Source organism: Homo sapiens, chromosome 20 (genome assembly GCF_000001405.40).
Source record: "Homo sapiens chromosome 20, GRCh38.p14 Primary Assembly".
Classification (NCBI taxonomy): Eukaryota; Metazoa; Chordata; class Mammalia; order Primates; family Hominidae; genus Homo; species Homo sapiens.
In genome coordinates this window covers 14,322,402-14,341,658 of record NC_000020.11, presented here as the reverse complement: position 1 = coordinate 14,341,658, position 19,257 = coordinate 14,322,402, and the positions used below count along the sequence as shown (strand labels likewise).

The 19,257-nt window shown below is 35.6% G+C and overlaps 2 protein-coding genes across 8 annotated transcripts in view; one reads left to right on the top strand and one right to left on the bottom strand.

The window, feature by feature from the left end:
• Positions 1 to 19,257, bottom strand: part of MACROD2 (mono-ADP ribosylhydrolase 2) — a 2,057,682-nt gene that overhangs the window by 1,711,539 nt on the left and 326,886 nt on the right. The window lies entirely within an intron of this gene.
• Positions 4,047 to 18,674, top strand: FLRT3 (fibronectin leucine rich transmembrane protein 3). 5 transcript variants are annotated; one of them, XM_011529205.3, is made up of 4 exons: positions 4,047 to 4,255; positions 12,332 to 12,525; positions 13,459 to 13,595; positions 14,101 to 18,674. In XM_011529205.3, exon 4 carries the CDS (start codon positions 14,153 to 14,155, stop codon positions 16,100 to 16,102), a length of 1,950 nt encoding a protein of 649 aa, XP_011527507.1. In that variant the 5' UTR covers positions 4,047 to 4,255; positions 12,332 to 12,525; positions 13,459 to 13,595; positions 14,101 to 14,152; the 3' UTR covers positions 16,103 to 18,674. The 5 variants fall into 5 exon arrangements, with proteins under 5 accessions (XP_011527507.1, XP_011527506.1, NP_938205.1 ...); XM_011529204.3 differs by having other exon boundaries at positions 12,332 to 13,079; NM_198391.3 differs by lacking the exon at positions 13,459 to 13,595.

The following is a 19,257-nucleotide window of genomic DNA, read 5'->3' as shown; positions in this document are numbered from 1 at the left end:
TTTTCTTTTCTTTTCTTTTTGAGATGGAGTTTCGCTTGTACTGCCCAAGCTGGAGTGCATGGTACAATCTCAGCTCACTGCAACCTCCACCTCCTGGGTTCAAGTGGTTCTCTTGCCTCAGCCTCCCAAGTAGCTGGGATTACAGGCACGTGCCACCACGCCCGGCTAACTTTTTGTATTTTTACTAGAAACGGGGTTTCACCACGTTAACCAGGCTGGTCTCAAACTCCTGACTTCAGGTGATCCTCCCGCCTCGGCCTCCCAAAGTGCTGGGATTACAGGCATGAGCCACTGCGCCCATCCAAACTGTTTTCTTTACACAATTTTGAAGATTTTATTCTCATGAAGAATGCTGAGGGAAAGGAAAATCATGAAGAATGTTTCTTAGGCTTAAAAGAACCTTAATGTCTTCTAAGATTAAATCTCAGAACTTCATAGTTGGAGATAGTTTGGGGATCATCTAGTCCTACTAGTTTCTTTTACACAGGGAGTCAATAAATATGTATATGATGAATGAATAAATGAATGTGAAGACTGAATGAATGAATGTGTGAATGAGGTAGCTTAACTCTAGACAGACCTGAATTGTATTGTTCCATGAAATGACTGTGTGTTTTAGTCAGTTTCAGCTGGTAGTTGGTAACTAAAAGACAGATTTGAGGCTTCTGTGTGTATGTTGTTTTTCATTTTTTTGTCTGGATATACAAGTAAATGGCAGAACCTGGGAAACCCAATTCCAAATCCAATCTACTTTCATGTCCACTAGTGAACATCTCACATTTTCTCATAAAAACAAACAAAGAACACCACAAAGTCCTTTGAGATGACAAGTTTAGATAGTCCTAGAGTTTTAAAACTGGGATATGTTATTGAAGTTCATTTCCAAACCAGTTGCTTTCAATCTGAAATGCACTTTCTCACGTACAATGCTAGATTCACAGGCTAGCCAACAAAACAGAACAAAATGCAAAACAGCAAACATCTTTTCAACCCAAAATATCTACTAGAACCCAACTAAGTGTTAAGTTCTGGGAACATGAGGTCATGAGATGTGTAAGTACAAGAGAAAAAAAAAATCAATGAAATGCTCTTCTATTCCTCTTTTCCACTTCCATTTACTGACTGTAAAATTACTTCAAAGAGAAATTTGAAAAATTCCAAAAATCTGTTATTGGCCCTGTACTACCTCCCTTTGTGTATTCTTCTCCCATTCTTAGTGTCCTTTTTGTTCCAGGTGCTTGGATGTCCCCCATCTTAAATAATGACAGCTATCGTCTTATTGAGCACTTACTATGAGTCAGGCACTGAGCTAACAAACTCAAAGAGATTAAGTAATTTGTCTACAGTCATGTGGCAAAGCCAACATGGAGCCCAGCTGTGCTAATCTCTGAAGCCCATGTTCTTAAACTACCCAGGTCTACTACACTGGTTGTCCTCTACCCTGAGCCAAGTCCTTCCTGATATGAGAATCCACCTCCTCCCTTCCTATTACAGCCAAAAGGGTTTCATGCTAAAGATTGCCAGCATTCCATCCCCTTCAATCAAAACAGTCATCCCCTTATTGTAGCCAAAGTGCCTTAGAAAACAAAAGAGGAGGGCAATCTGAAGTAACTCATGATAACCTCATGTTTCCAGAGATTGTACATACTATTTCAAAGGGGGCACACATTATTATAAATTCACCTTCAACTAGTAGCATTTCAGGTAGCTGATAAGAGCGGGAAGTGAAAAACTATGTATGCAGCAAAAGAGTATATATTTTTGGACAGAATAGGAGGCCACAGATTCTACTAAGAGTTTGCCCCCAAAGTCAGTACCCCAGTATAGAATATATTTTCACAATTTCTTTTCTTTTCCCATATTTTAATCCATAGCTTAAAAGGGGAAAAAAAGCAACAAAAAATAATTGGCATTTAATAAATCCTTGCTGCCTTTATTTGTCAAGTGATGAAACCAAAGCCTAGGGCAACAAATATGAAGTCATATAACAATGGCAGCCCAGAGAAGGGAAACCTCCAAACTGCTAACTCCCAGGCCAGTACAATTTATTTTTGATACCTATAACCCAATTCACCAATTGATTTTTCTTTTCTGTTTAAGGCCTGCCTGAATGAAGACGAAACTGATTAAATATGGCTATAAACCCACAGGAATTTGACCAGGCAAAAATTTTCTTTTTTAAACAGAACCAACTCCTATCTGAAAATGGCTTCTAGAAATAATTATTTAATAAAATAATTTAATCCATGTCTTTGTTTCATAGTAACAGAAAAATATCCACCTCCCTTTCCTCCCAAAATTCAGCTGCTGCATATCAGTTTAATTGTACTACCTAGCAGTTCAAAGAAATTGGCTTTTCAATGGACATTAGAATCTAAAACTCCTAGATTTAATGGGTCTGTCCTCTGAGGCCCACAAAAGTGCAATCATAGAACAATAGGGTCAATACATTTCTTATCAAGGGTTCACCTACTTTGATATCACCCATTCTTGGAAGGGAACTCAGGTCAAACTGTTATCAAACAAATATATAAATAGATAAACTAAATGAAGCTAATGAAGAGACCACAATCAAATAGTCCTGGGAAAGACTATTAGCTGGCCTTCTTCAGAAATAAACATGCAGGGAAAAATTGAGAAAGGACAAAGGAGAAGGTCATGCACCTCTAAGAATAGAGCAAATAAAGATATTAGTTTAAGACAACGGTCCTCCAGGTAAATATAAAAGCTAAGTTCTTACCACCAACATGAACAAGTGAAATACACTTATTTGATGGAAAACTTACGGGCACAAAGCAATTGTTGACCAAATAGCAGAAACCAGTCTACAAAAATCATAATTAAAAATACAAGTATAATTCTGTTAATTAGGCATAGAAATTTATAATCTCCACGTCTTACAATTGTCCAGTGTTTATTCATGTACCTAAATTAAACTAAAATAATTTCAATCCAGGCAAACCACCCTGAAAGATTTTTTTCTTAAGATGTTTATATCTAAACCCATGCTCAGATCAGCAAAAACATTTAGAAAGGAAAATATTCTATTAAATTTTTTAAAAACATTTTATTGGGGGATCGTTAAATATAAATAATCCATTTTAAATAATATAAACACGTAGCAGAAGTACATAAAACATACTTTCATTTTCTAAAACATAGAGAACAGTAACTTCTTCGCCTCCAAAAGAACAGACCATTTAATACCATTTAAAAAAATCTTTTGGCATTCCTATTGCCCTTCCCATAACTAAATGAATCAGTGACACGTGTATATATATACATATATTGGAGATGGAGTTTCGTTCTTGTTGCCCAGGCTGGAGTGCAATGGTGCAATCTTGGCTCACTGCAACCTCTGCCTCCCGGGTTCAAGTGATTCTCCTGCCTCAGCCTCCCAAACAGCTGGGATTACGGGCGCCCAGCTAATTTTTTCTACATGTTGGTCAGGCTGGTCTCGAACTCCTGACCTCAGGTGATCCTCCCACCTCGGCCTCCCAAAGTGCCGGAATTAGAGGCGTGAGCCACCACACCCAGCCCTGATGTATATATTTGAATCTGCTGTTTATTCATATGTTGAATAAACATTCACAGTTGGGATTACTGGCATACATCTTCCACAATTATAACATTATTTTAGCTAGTGAATAATAAAACTAATTTGATTTTGGTTAACTTCTTTTCAATACAGATGGTTTAAAAATAAGACAAAGCCTGTCTTTTTCTATTGTGATCTTAAAAATATCTTTCTAACATGCTTTTTAAAAAAAATACATAAGTATGCTACCACTGCCTTGTAGTAAACTTTAGAAAATGTTGAGATTCCAAAGGGCTGCCTACAAACCAAATGGCATCCTAGCTTTGGCAGGCTGATGCTTCATTTTGGCTGCTCTCGCCCCCTCTAGCGTTTGCAAAGCTCATCTGTCTGATTATCCAGTTACCTCACTGAACAAGATCTTGGCTAAGTCCTGCCCATCTATGACATCACCCCCTTCTTCAGCCACTGCGAGGTGAAGCTTTAAACTTCAGACTTGGAGGTGGGCTGTGTGCAGTAAACTGGAATGCTCTCCCTCGCTCACTCCTCAGTGTAGGAGTGATCTGAAGCAGGACAAGCTCAGCCTGCAGCTGCCGTGGGCTTTGTGTGGACTGGACGCAGAGCTTGGGAGACGGGGGAGGGCTATTACTCCAATTCACTGTCAATGGAATTACAGCTATAGCGGCAGTGTATATAGGATTGCTTTTTCTCGTCTTCCTGGTAAGTGTTTTCCATGTTTTTTCTTATGATTGTCCCAGAAAGTTTGCTTGGTTTTACTCTCTAGAAAGAAACGACTTGATACTATGAGAAATCCAAATAGGAACGTTTGCTCTGTCACCACAACAAGCAATATATGTGCGTGCAAGCCAGCAATGAAAAATTTCACTATCATGGCTGAATGTAAGAAGTTTCTTAGAACCTTCTTTCATTTATAAAAGATAGTAAGTGGCTATTTTCTGTCTTGAGTAATTGCTATGTGAAAAGAGCCTTATGGAAAACAGCAAGTTGGAAAGTTCAATGTTAAATATTAAAGAATACAAGGAGATTCTTCACAGATAGGAAAGCAACTTGGTGTGTACTGTACGTGTGGGATGATCACCAATTGCTGTTTTTACAACTGTGAAAGAAAATCAATAATCCCTCAGCCCATGAGTACGCAGTACATGAAAAGCATACATCTTGCTCACAGCTAGCCGAGCTACTCCTGGAGACTTATGTGCCTCTGTAAAGGATTAACAGCTACACCTAGATTTTAAAGCTTGCACTGCTATCGTGCCTGAGCTGCTTCAAGCATTTCAGGCTTGCAAATCTCAACTAGTAAATTGAACTCAGAGGAGGGGGAGACACTCTTCCAAACCATATTCCCTCTTCAATAGAACACCAAAATCCATTGCTTAGGCAAGTGAAGTATGTGACTAGCATAGTAAATGGCTAAGTCTACTCAGAAAAACTAACAAAGCTCACCCTGGAAGCTATGCCTGATGTATGCAGTGAGTTTGGGGTAGCAGGAAAGAAAAATAAATGAGTAGAGCCCTTATCAAGTGGGTTTTGCAGAGGATCCATTCTTTGCAACTTATAATAGGAAAATCTTATATTGGAAGAAATGCATTTATACTACAAAGCTTGAAAAAGTAGTTAAATGTATCTTCTCAAAAAATTTTGTTCACTGAATTAGGTCTGAAACAAAATGGTTGCATATAGGTAAAGAGTGCAACAGGCCCATCCATGTCTTCTCAACATCTGGGGGGTTTGTTTTTATTATTTTATTTAGAATTTAAAAGAAAAAAAATTGATTTTTTTTTCAATTTTTAGTCCAAAATCTCTAATGGTTTTAATAATAAGGCTATTTTAAACATTCTTAATAAATCTGTCTATTAATAAATCTGTCTAAAATGCTCATCTATGTTATTTTATTATCCAGAAACAACATAAATAAAGCCACTAGAAAAGTCCTTCAGCTGTAGCAATGCCTTTCATTTATCTCTGACTGCATAAAAATATCCTGACCAGCCTAAACATAAAGAATAAATTTGCTTATATTCAGGGAGAATCACTTATACCTGACCCAAAGTGACAGATGACTAATATTCATCTCTTCCGAAATGAGTAAAGAAAAATTAATCCTTTAAAAGTGCCACAATCAATAATATCAACATTACCAACTACTACAAATATTAATGATAATATGCCAGGTTTTACCATGGGAAAATTAAATCAGAGATATGCCCCTTAGTTTGGACACATATATATACACACAGACAAACGCACATCTATTTATTACCCTGAAATAAAAACAGAGTTACAAAAACGCATAGATTTACTAAGAAAACTAAAATTTGATTTTTTGAAGAGCACAACCAAAACACATCAAGTCCAAGGATCAGCAAAATATTAGTGAATGAATAAACATAATGAATTCATTAATATTGCGGTTCTGTAAAACTGTCTACCAGTTACTAATTGGGTTTTTCATTTCGCTGCACCCCACCCTTTAAAATCAATTATGACTGGGTTCAAAATGCACAATTAAACACTTCCCAAACATAACGTTTGTGAGATATATAATTGGATAGCAAATAAAGTTTTTACAAAAAGAAGAAAAACAGTAAGAAAATCTGTCATAACTAAATGTGGCAGCAAAATAGAAGGTATGTTTCTTTTGCTTTCAAGTGTTAATTAAGGAGCCTACAATTCTATCAAAACTTTTTCAGAGCTAAATGAAGCAGTGTGAAATAAATTTGGTTGAAATCTTGTGGCTGTCAGACTTTGTTAGCAAGCTATTAATTATCTTTACCCCAGTTTCTTCTCTAGACTATATTGCCCAATCAAATAGAAACTCCAATTATGCTCAGCATCTCCTGCCTAGGGACACAAGACCCTAATGAACACTCAGTCTCTCTAGATGAAAAATACAATAATCAGCTTTAAACATGCAAGTGCACTGCAGAGAGATTTTTCTGTGCTTTTCTTGGCCACACACCCTAAGGCTTCCTCCTTTTTCTGGATTATTTTGAACAGTTTTAAGCCCTACAAAAATCAGTGCAGGGAATTGGCCTTGTCTTAATAATATATTAATGTTTCTTCTTTCTTGCTTTTCATTTTTGATATGCCAATGTTCATACCAATATTAAATCTGGTCAATGAAAAAGTATTGGTTTATAGTTGCCATTTCAGTCATTTCTTAACTTCTATGCCTCTTTTTAAGGTGGGTGGGCTATATAACAAAGAATGTGATTGATTAATGGCAAAATCCAGAGCTAACTTAAAAATTCTGAATAGATCCCCTTATATATTCTTTTATTCAAACCCATTTATTTAAAAAAAAAAAGCATTAGAAATAACTGTTTAAATCAAATGAAGACTACCATAAATAAAGTCAACAATGGAAATAAGATTCAGTAATTTTTCAAAGGCCATAATTTCTCCCCTCCGTCTTTCCTCCTTCCCCCTTCCCTCCCACCCCCCACCTTTTGCCCCAGAGGCCTTCACTGTTCTTCTCAACGGGAGGCTTTGTTGTAATTAAACCAGAGAAAAACTGGCCAGCAGCAGCCAACATCTGACTTGCGGCTTCAGAAAGCAGTGTTCTGGTAGAGTGTACCACCCCCCAGTGGGCAAAAACTCTACAGTAAAAATCTCTCAGCAATATTAATCCTCAAAACTGCATTTTCTCTTCAGAGCATAAAAAGGGATGTTTCTCAGCTCCTTCTAACATTCCACCATTTCAAAAATTTACTGAAAGTCAACAAATAAATTTCCAACAAAGAGTTGGTCTTCTGAAACAGCATTCTTCCTCTTAAGAAAATAGGTATACACATTTCAAAAAGTATTTTCCAGTTTCAAAATACAGATCGACATCACTCAATTTGGTTAAACATCACACTAAAAGACAGTTTTCAAAGCTATGTTTATGTTGTGTAAGAAAGAACTTTGAGTTATCTATTTACGAAAACCCCAGAGAAAACAGATTTTAAGTAGAAAGCAATAGAATATAATTTAAGCAAAAGCTAAAATTTCATTTGTTTTGCATATGCATAATCTCTTTCCTACCCTAAAATCAAGTGTCAGGGATGTATAAAAAGCTTTCTGCAGGTATTATTCTGTTTAAATCAAAGGAGGGAGAAATTGCTCTCACTCGATGAGACAATGACAGCTTTTGTTCTTTATTCTTTCACTTTACATGTGCACAAGTTACCGAGGCAACTTTGAAGAGAAAACCCACAGACCACATTTGGTTAAAAACCATTTTTAAAGTGTGCCACTGGACTGTGGATTGATCAGTTTATGTGTTGTTGATTTTCTTCCTCTTCATCTGGTTTAAGTAATACCCTGCTTGGACATGAAAAACAATGTATTTTATGATTTCAGGTGGTCTCACCGACCAGTATAGTGCTTGCCACACAGTAGACTAAAATAAATGTATTTGCTGAACTACTGTATGGAAACTTAAATATTAGAAATTTAAAGCACATCAACCAAGTTGTACCCACACTGTTAAAAAGGAATTTGAAGTCTGCAATGGTAAAACGTGGTTTAACAAAAGTAGGCAAACTTTTAATTGCATTTGCTCAAAAGCACAAATTTAAAGCATGCCCCCACCCCAAACTCTGCACCACTTACCTTCACCACTCTCTAAATTAATATCTTACTCGTTCTTACAACTCTTGTTCTCTAATTCATTTACTTTGGGTTTAATATCATAAAAGGAAGCAGCATTCACTATGCTGACGGATAATATCCCAGTTTGCCTTTTTGTTTTAAGGATGCTTGATTTAACTTTACAAGTCAAAATAAATGAAGCAGAATTTGATTCATTTGTCAGAAACGTACCGGGGAAAATAACCAGTAACAGAAAAAGAAAAAGTAAAAATACTTAGCATTGGAAATTTTATCCTCTATTTTCCATAAATGAAACAAGGACCTTGTTCAGGCTAGAAAATAGTCTGGATAAAACCAAGTATGAAAAGGCACACTTGCTTCTCTGCCTCTCAGCAAACCCTTCAGACTTCATGACTCTCAAGAGGAGAGTTAGAGGTCCTTCTGCTTGCCTGGCATTGAACAAAAGAATTGGAACTTTCCTGAAATCTGATGATCATGGAAAATTTAACTACCAGACAGGCTGCTTAGAAAGCATTTTGCTGTCACTATCAACTAACCTGATGTACTCCAGTTTTTCAGTTTAACCGTATATGTAGTTTATTTGAAATACCGTTTGTTGTTGCAAAGGCTTAGCATTCACAGGTTGAGCTTTTTTGGCAGCAATTTAAGCCTTCATAAATAAATTACCTTCCTAATACTCTAAATTATGATTGTATAAATTCCAGTTTACCTAGAAATATTCACAAAGTTGGATACATTTGTTTAGGCATGTGTTTTCTTTAGTCTCAAGGTTTTACTTAAAACAATGCAACTAACTTGGATTAAAAGTTCTACATGCCATTAGATTTTAGATTGAATATTTTTAAAAGTCCCCAGCATTAAGAAATCATTCTGTGAGAGAAATCATTAAAAATAAACTATAATCTCAAAACCTTATACTTGAATTAATATTTTTAAAAAATGACTAATGATCAAACAGGTCAAATCAAAATCAATTTAAATCTAAGGCATTAAATAAGAAGTTAGCACTACTATTATACAGCTTCATCTTAATCTAAGTAATATTCTCAAAACATAAGAAATACCTTCTCATAACACTCCCACCTCCAAAATATTGTAGTAGCAGGGAAGAAATCACATAAACATGTAGATTGCCGCAAGCTCTTGATTTTATTTAAATACTAGTTTTCTATTCAGATACAACTTCTTATATTAGTTTCCCTAAAATAGTATCCTTATCTATTTACATGTTTTATTGGGTGTATCATGGAAATAAATTGGAAGCTTTCAGACTTGATGATTACATTATAAATGCAAAAAAACCCCACAATTTTTATTTGTAAAAATAAACTGAATATGAATATAAGGATCCCTATTAAAAATTTGATTCATCAGTGAGGTGGTTATGTTTTTCTTCTTTTTACTACAGTTTTAAGTGTTTTATAGTTAAATAATGATTCCATTAAAAAATGTTTTTAAACATTCCATTAAGTTACCAGGGCTTCATTTATGTTTTCCTCCCAAGTTACCCCATTAACAGTATTTTTCTAAAAGATCGATTCATTTTGTTCAGAAGTAATGGCCTCTTTCAAGCCTAGGCGGACAGAAAGGCTCTGAAGTCAGTGTTATGGAAACCTGGCCACAGTGTCCATGCCAGTGGGGGTCATTTTTCTTTTCATCATCGACATTTGACTACAGTATTTCTAGGTGCGCAAATATGTAGATCCAGCTCAGAAAGGGGAAGGTCTAAGGATAGGAGAGGATCGTTCATTTTTGATGAAGAGATCCTTGCAGCCTTTAATATGCCAAAACCAAAACCCAAAAATCTGTTTAGCACTATAGTTTCAAACATAAATGGGAAAGAGAAGATATAAAACGTAGTTAAACATGAACTGTTTTGAGCCTAAGGGAGCAGGGGCATATGAGAGTAGCTCTGAACGTAATCTTCATTTCCGAAAGAGTATCCTTCTCTCCTAAGAAACCTGTTTTATGTTTTTGCCTTTTATTTTAATACAATGTGGGGAGAAGAGAATGACATTTTCCAAGAACTTAATGAGATTTAAGGCTTTCTGTTAATCCCACATTATTACCACTATTGTATGAATGGCAAATGTGAGTTTGCATATCAAACAGAATAGAGAAAGCAGCTTCACAAATGTAAAACAGGTAAAATAAACAAATTAATCTTCCGTCTTTTCACACCAATTTAGAACTCTTTCATTCTCTGGGTTAAAAATGTGAAAATCAATACATATTGTTAGAGCCTTATTTGGTGAAATATATATATAGTCCAGACACAAGATAAAAGACATTTATTTTATGTCTGGTTATCATTATGATCATCACCTTGGACACACTGTGGTCTGACCTGACTCAGGGGACAATCAGTTTTTAAATCCCCAATCAGCGGATTCATCATCTCAAGTATATATTGCCTCACCATCATCCCTGGAATATCAGAAATGCTTGACTCTTGGTAACATTTTAAGCAGGTTCTCACTTGTTATTTTTATAATGGTTTTTAATTAGTTTCTAATGCAATTTAACATAAGCAATTGTTTTCTAAACTTAAATTAACCACATTATTTTATATGTTGAATAATTTTCAAGTTTAAAAAACTTTTACAGAAGATACTTTAAAAAGTAACTTTGTAATTATAATTTCAGCAGCTTGGTTTTCCATTTTCACACACTGAGAAAGCAACAGTTTTCAAGAAAAGATACTATTGGAATTTGACAATAATGAGCAAAGCCCTAAAGGCATCACAGTAAAACCTCACATTAAACAATAAATCATTTAAACTTTCCTCTGTGGGCACTTTGCAATATTCACTAGAGACTGTTTGATCCATCTGCTAACTGCTATTTTTGTTTCAAGTTGCGTAAATAATAAATTATATGTATCTGTAATTGTTTTCACTTTTCTTCCGTTAATATAGCCTATGACCATGTTGGTATGTAGTTAGCAAACTAAAAGAAACTGAATTTTTGGAGAGAACCAGAAACACAAATTGTGGCCTTATTTAACATACTCGTTCAGCAGAGTATCTGAATTATGGAACAGATGCTATACTTGTTGGATGTTAGATAGCAACTGTGGGAGAAGCAAATTGCTACTACTTTAGTCCTTACTTTGAGGGTCACATATTTCCAGGATACTCAAATGTTCCCTACATATATACAAAGTATCAGAGTGGATGACCCTGCATAACCAATTCGAATATTACTCACCTCCTCTAAACTCTCAAAAAATCTTCGTGCATATTTGATAATGGGCAAAGCAGTCAACATTAAATTCAATGATCTCTTTAGTCAAGCCAAAAGTCTTCTTTTGGAAATGAAAAATACACTTATTAAAAACTGGCAATATTCATGTATGAACCTAGAGAGAAATGCCCCACCTGGTTTTGATGTGCTTTCCTAATGGTCACTACAAGGAGATTGAAATAATAGTGTCCCTTCTATTTCAAATACAATTTTTTTTTCAAACTCAGTATGCTAAAAGAAAATTAGAACAGTATTCTCCAGAAAAACTAAATATGACTTGAACTTCTATGTCACCTTTTGGGCAAGAACACCTGAGTGCTTAGAGTTTCAAGATCACTAAGTAGTCCTTAGATACACCCCTAAAGAGAAAGGGGATGATGTCAACATTCTGCAGTTGGGAGAATTGAGACCTGCAGGAGGAATCAAACAGGGCACTAAGCAAATCAAAAGAAAAGCTTTTAAAATAGTCTTTTCAACTCTAAATTGTGGATTGTGTGACTTTGTTAAATCATGTTCAGAAATGCCTAAAAAGTTACCTTGGCATTTCTGTCAAAAATATTTGTTAATGTATTTGCTCACCTCTTTGACATGTACTTGTTTTCTTCTTTTTAAACATTTTATCATTTTATGCATATGATTTAAAAGTAAATTTTTAAAGACTGGCTTGAATTTGAAAGCCATGGTGTTTAATTCAAAGTGACACAATCAGATAATAGAAATTATCTGTTTGATGACAATCTCAACTTTGGCTCCTACTTTATTTGTATAAGAAAATGAGAAGTCTAAAAACAAAGAGGTCAACCTATCCCTTCTGACTAACCACTATGATGAAAGATGTGTTATTTTAAGACATTGAAATTAAATGTCTAGGAAATTTCTCTAGTATGTTAAAGTTCATTATTAATAGTTCATTAAAACCTTTTACTTTCACAGGAGATGCTCAGTCCCAGTATATTTTAAGGAAGAGAAATATAAAGGAAATTTAGTATGCCTCCTTTTCTTTAAATGAAGAATTTAGTTTCCTTTACTTCTTAAAAGAGAATACCTGTTCTTGTATAACGTGACTGCACCAGACATTCTGAAAAATCAGCAAGAAGCAAAAGCTGGAAATAGCTATTTCACAGCAGGTAATCATACCTCAGGATGTAGCTACTGTACAAAGTTTATACTTGGATAATCCTGGATGGGAATAAAGGTAGGGGGTAACTGCCTGAAAAACCTATTACTATACAGGCCTTAGCATCATGAATGACTTTCTTCATGAGGATCTGAAGTTACTATCTCTGACCACATTGCACAGAAGAGCCAATAAGAATTTCAAAGAGGGCAATTTCCACTAAGGGAATTAAGCTACACAAAAGGAACTTTCACACAGAAACTCTATCAGAAAGAAAAAAAAAATACATAGGAAGCCATGTGTCCTACATAGTAACAGGAAGCAGAATTGTTTCTGCCCCCACTTTAATGAGCTTGCCCACCATGCTGAACTGCAGCTGGAATGTTCATTGACAACAGCAAGCCTGATCTGGAGGTGTGTACGCCATAGGATTACTTGAATAAACGGTGAAGAACATTTCCAAGGACTAAACAAAAGTTTATAAGTCCCAGTCCCTCACCAGGAAAATAATATATGTGCATTGGATATTCACCCCCGCAAAATTTACTCACATCGTTCAATAAGGTAGGAAAAACAAAGTATTTTATTTTCATGCCTAAAATTACAAAGGCTAATTAATACTTAAAAGGACAGAAGAGACTATATTACACAATACATCAGTATAAATCTATACTTTGCCAGCCATAGAAAAAGTTGATTTATGTTCTAGGTTAGAATTCAAAGAAATATAAATGCACTGTGACAACACGTTATGAGGTAGAAAATAATGAAAAATGTGGACAAAGTCATTAAAACCTGCAGTATGAAACATATAACAAAATGTGAACAGAAGAAAGACAGAATTTAATATGAAGTGAAATTTTCCACTTAGGTTAGCTGGATGTATTAGCTTTGTAATTCTTTCCCAAAAATAAATGAAGGAATCATTCTTATTTTCTTGCAGAAATCCATCCATTTAAAATAATGCTTAAAATTAATAACCAAAGAAAATGAAATGACATTAATAATCAAAGCAAACTATGGGTTTGAGATTGAGGATCTCAAGATGTGTGTAACTATTCCTGAGTATGAAGAGAATAGGTATTTTTATGACATTTTTCTACACCTGTATAGTTTTTGCCTAATAAAAAGTAAATATAAAAATGTGTGGTTTTTTGATAACAGTAAAATGATTACCTTTAAATATAAGAAATAATATTCCAAGGTGTTACTTATTATGAATATTAAGTAAGAAATGGATATTCAATTAGCTTGATCAGTGACTGTCTAAAGGTTGATATAAAGTATAATTAAAATACTTTGGATTATTCAATAAAACTTCAATTATATTTAATATTTCAAAATCAAATGGATTTAGGACAGATACTTTTTAATTTATAAAGAAATTAAGAAACCATTAAGGTAAAGAGATTATATGACAGTGTCTATTGTTAGCTAGCAATAAACCCTATTATGCCCCCTCCCAAAACAAATGAAAATATTAAAAGTGATTATGGATATTTTAGTTTCCACATTTGTTTTTAAACATTATATTCAGTATGCTGGCCTTATTGTTTTCTGTCTTTTTTTACTCACTTCATTTTAGGGTTCTGAAGTAACGGAAGCTACCTTGTATAAAGACCTCAACACTGCTGACCATGATCAGCGCAGCCTGGAGCATCTTCCTCATCGGGACTAAAATTGGGCTGTTCCTTCAAGTAGCACCTCTATCAGTTATGGCTAAATCCTGTCCATCTGTGTGTCGCTGCGATGCGGGTTTCATTTACTGTAATGATCGCTTTCTGACATCCATTCCAACAGGAATACCAGAGGATGCTACAACTCTCTACCTTCAGAACAACCAAATAAATAATGCTGGGATTCCTTCAGATTTGAAAAACTTGCTGAAAGTAGAAAGAATATACCTATACCACAACAGTTTAGATGAATTTCCTACCAACCTCCCAAAGTATGTAAAAGAGTTACATTTGCAAGAAAATAACATAAGGACTATCACTTATGATTCACTTTCAAAAATTCCCTATCTGGAAGAATTACATTTAGATGACAACTCTGTCTCTGCAGTTAGCATAGAAGAGGGAGCATTCCGAGACAGCAACTATCTCCGACTGCTTTTCCTGTCCCGTAATCACCTTAGCACAATTCCCTGGGGTTTGCCCAGGACTATAGAAGAACTACGCTTGGATGATAATCGCATATCCACTATTTCATCACCATCTCTTCAAGGTCTCACTAGTCTAAAACGCCTGGTTCTAGATGGAAACCTGTTGAACAATCATGGTTTAGGTGACAAAGTTTTCTTCAACCTAGTTAATTTGACAGAGCTGTCCCTGGTGCGGAATTCCCTGACTGCTGCACCAGTAAACCTTCCAGGCACAAACCTGAGGAAGCTTTATCTTCAAGATAACCACATCAATCGGGTGCCCCCAAATGCTTTTTCTTATCTAAGGCAGCTCTATCGACTGGATATGTCCAATAATAACCTAAGTAATTTACCTCAGGGTATCTTTGATGATTTGGACAATATAACACAACTGATTCTTCGCAACAATCCCTGGTATTGCGGGTGCAAGATGAAATGGGTACGTGACTGGTTACAATCACTACCTGTGAAGGTCAACGTGCGTGGGCTCATGTGCCAAGCCCCAGAAAAGGTTCGTGGGATGGCTATTAAGGATCTCAATGCAGAACTGTTTGATTGTAAGGACAGTGGGATTGTAAGCACCATTCAGATAACCACTGCAATACCCAACACAGTGTATCCTGCCCAAGGACAGTGGCCAGCTCCAGTGACCAAACAGCCAGATATTAAGAACCCCAAGCTCACTAAGGATCACCAAACCACAGGGAGTCCCTCAAGAAAAACAATTACAATTACTGTGAAGTCTGTCACCTCTGATACCATTCATATCTCTTGGAAACTTGCTCTACCTATGACTGCTTTGAGACTCAGCTGGCTTAAACTGGGCCATAGCCCGGCATTTGGATCTATAACAGAAACAATTGTAACAGGGGAACGCAGTGAGTACTTGGTCACAGCCCTGGAGCCTGATTCACCCTATAAAGTATGCATGGTTCCCATGGAAACCAGCAACCTCTACCTATTTGATGAAACTCCTGTTTGTATTGAGACTGAAACTGCACCCCTTCGAATGTACAACCCTACAACCACCCTCAATCGAGAGCAAGAGAAAGAACCTTACAAAAACCCCAATTTACCTTTGGCTGCCATCATTGGTGGGGCTGTGGCCCTGGTTACCATTGCCCTTCTTGCTTTAGTGTGTTGGTATGTTCATAGGAATGGATCGCTCTTCTCAAGGAACTGTGCATATAGCAAAGGGAGGAGAAGAAAGGATGACTATGCAGAAGCTGGCACTAAGAAGGACAACTCTATCCTGGAAATCAGGGAAACTTCTTTTCAGATGTTACCAATAAGCAATGAACCCATCTCGAAGGAGGAGTTTGTAATACACACCATATTTCCTCCTAATGGAATGAATCTGTACAAAAACAATCACAGTGAAAGCAGTAGTAACCGAAGCTACAGAGACAGTGGTATTCCAGACTCAGATCACTCACACTCATGATGCTGAAGGACTCACAGCAGACTTGTGTTTTGGGTTTTTTAAACCTAAGGGAGGTGATGGTAGGAACCCTGTTCTACTGCAAAACACTGGAAAAAGAGACTGAAAAAAAGCAATGTACTGTACATTTGCCATATAATTTATATTTAAGAACTTTTTATTAAAAGTTTCAAATTTCAGGTTACTGCTGCGATTGATGTAGTGGAGATGCCTGAACACAATTCTATATTTTAGTATTTTTTAGTAATTTGTACTGTATTTTCCTTGCAAATATTGGAGTTATAAACCATTTACTTTGTGTTCTACTGAGTAAGATGACTTGTTGACTGTGAAAGTGAATTTTCTTGCTGTGTCGAACAATCAGGACTGCATTCATATGAGATCCTTGTAGTATAAGCACAGGCCATTTTTCACTTTGGTATTAATAAAATGTAAAAAAAAAAAACTGGCTGAATGGCTGAATGAGATAAAATTTAATTTTAAAAAATGGTTATGAAATAATGTTCCAATTATTAAATTTGTATTATCCCAGTGGTATTCAATAAATCAAAATGTGTGAAGTAATGGGCAATATCAAACTTCCTGCATATCTCCATTTTTGCTCTAGGCAAATTAATTATCCTTAAAAAAGTTAAGCATATCTTCTGAACTGAATACATCAGCTGGCATAAAAGGAGCATGAAGTCTGTTAAAGCCATTGTCAGCAAAGCTTTGAAAATAAAGGACTTCACAAAAACGGTAATGTAAATGTGCTTCCAAGTTGGGGGGAAAATGTGTACTTAGGAAAACATGGAAACTTAGACTTGTATAGTGTAATGAACACAAATACCAAAACTGCATTTTGGTTTTGCCTATACCATCCTGATTTTTGAAAAGTGAATTATAAACACAAAATTGTTAGTGTTTATGATGTTTTTATCATAAAGGATGTCAGAGAAACTTTATGCATATTAAAAATGTAATGTAATTATAAGCGATTCCCCTCAACAATCCAGAGAAAGTAGTTCTTTAAATAAGAGATAATTTAAAGAAAAATAAATACTAGACATCAAATTTAGATCTGGTTTATGTCAAAGGTTTTAACACTGTACATAAATGTTCAATTTACTTTTACAAAGATCAAGAATACTGCCCATTACTGTCACAATTTTCCAGATATTATATAATGAACTCGTAATGTAACATTTCCTTCTAGCTTCCTACTGAATTGTGAGCTGTTACTTGTTGAAAAACCATATCACTTTTCTGTTGCCATGATTTTTTTTTTTTCAACAAAAAACCAAAGTGCATTGTACGCCCTTTGGCCAGTCTTGTATGTGCCTTGATCCAACGCTACATGTATTCAGCTTTTAAAACTCCACAAATTTTTCATACTCCTTAAATATGAAAAATTATGGTCTTATTGCTGAATAAAACTTTTAAAAAGTACAGAATAATTGTGCTTGCTTTTTCAGGATTGTGTTACTATCACTAAGTAGCAAATTGCCCAGCACATTAGTCCTAAACGTCCCATGTATTTTTCTAGGCATAAAAATAAAAGTTGGCTAAAAATTTTAAAAAATCAACATCTTGAGGTTGTGTATCATTTTACTTCAAAGAGTTCAGTGTTTCATGTATAAATGTATTTCCTCTTACTTATACACTGTATAGATGGAAAATTTAAGAAATGGTTTCAAAGCCTTTCTCTCTTAGGCGCACTGCTGCCACTGTCCTGATACTTTTTAAGGTGGTCTTTGAAAAACTGTTTTTTTAAAATAGCCTTTTAGTAGAGTGAGTTGGCATTTGTGATACTGTGAAATACACACTTTCTCTTTGTCCCTGTTTCTGGCATACAACTCCTAAAATCCTTGCAATCTTCAAAGTGATATATTTTCATATGCTAATGAGTTCACTGATAGCTGGCAGGCCCTAGGTAGCTTCAAGATAAAGTCTGATCATTGAAAAGACCAAGACATGATTATAGGGTTGGGACTTACAACCCCAAACCCTAACCTCCAGAGAGGGCGAAGTGGATGAAGATTAAGTTGATCACCAGTGACCAGTGGTTTAATCAAGCATGCCTATGTAATCAAGCCTCCATAAAAAAACAAAAGGTCAAGATTTGGAGAGCTTCCAGATTGCTGAACATGTGGTGGTTCCTGCAGGATGGCATGCCTGGAGAGGGCATGGAAGCTCTGTGCCCACCTAGACCTCACCTTATGTTTCCTGCCATCTGGATCCTTTGTAACATCCTTTATAATACGTCAGTAAATCTGTTTCCTTGCATTTTGTGAGCTGTTGTAGCAAATTAATAGAACACAAAAAGGGGATCCTGGGAAACCAAACTTGAAGCTGACTAGTCTTGCAACTGGTGTCTGAAGAGGAGGCAGTTTTGTGGGAATAAGCCCTCAACCTGTGGGATATGACACAATTTCCAGGTAGACAGTGTTGGGATTAAACTGAATTGGAGGACACCCAGCTGGTATCTGCTGAAGAACTGATTGCTTGCGTGGTGTATGGGGCAAAACTTGTTAAGACAAGTCTTCTATGTTGATTATTGTTGAATGAGAGAATTAAACACACATACACACTTTGAGTTTGTGTTTTCCACACAGAGCATCAAAAGACTTGAAATCTCAGATCTACCACTTAGGTATGCAATTAAAAACAAACTACTTACCCTTCCTAGCTATGTTTCCATATCTGTAAAAGGGGGTTAATAGTACCCTCATTTTTGTGAGGATTAAATGACACGATGTGCATGGAAACTGTATAATCTTCTACAAAATACAAGTTACTACTATTATTATGGTCAACAAATGTTTGCCATCTGTTCCCAAGTTTTACTAGATACTGCTCCTTTTACTCCTCTACTGACAAGGAGATATCTCCAAGTGACTATGAAATCTTATTAATTATTTGTTTGCTGTCTTCAAAATGTTTCCCAACACTCTGTCTTTTGGCTTCCCATTATGGTTGTTTTCGAGGGACAACTTAAAAGATGAATGTGATTAACATTAAACATAAGGAATGTTTCTGAAGGAAGTTTGACTTTGCTTCTAGAAGTTTTGAGTAGTTTAAGCTATAGTTCTGCTAGAAGTCAGGGAAAGGACTGGATGTCTCCATAAAGTCTCTGTAAACCTGTAGTTTATAAAAAGCAAAAAAAAAAAAAAGAGATT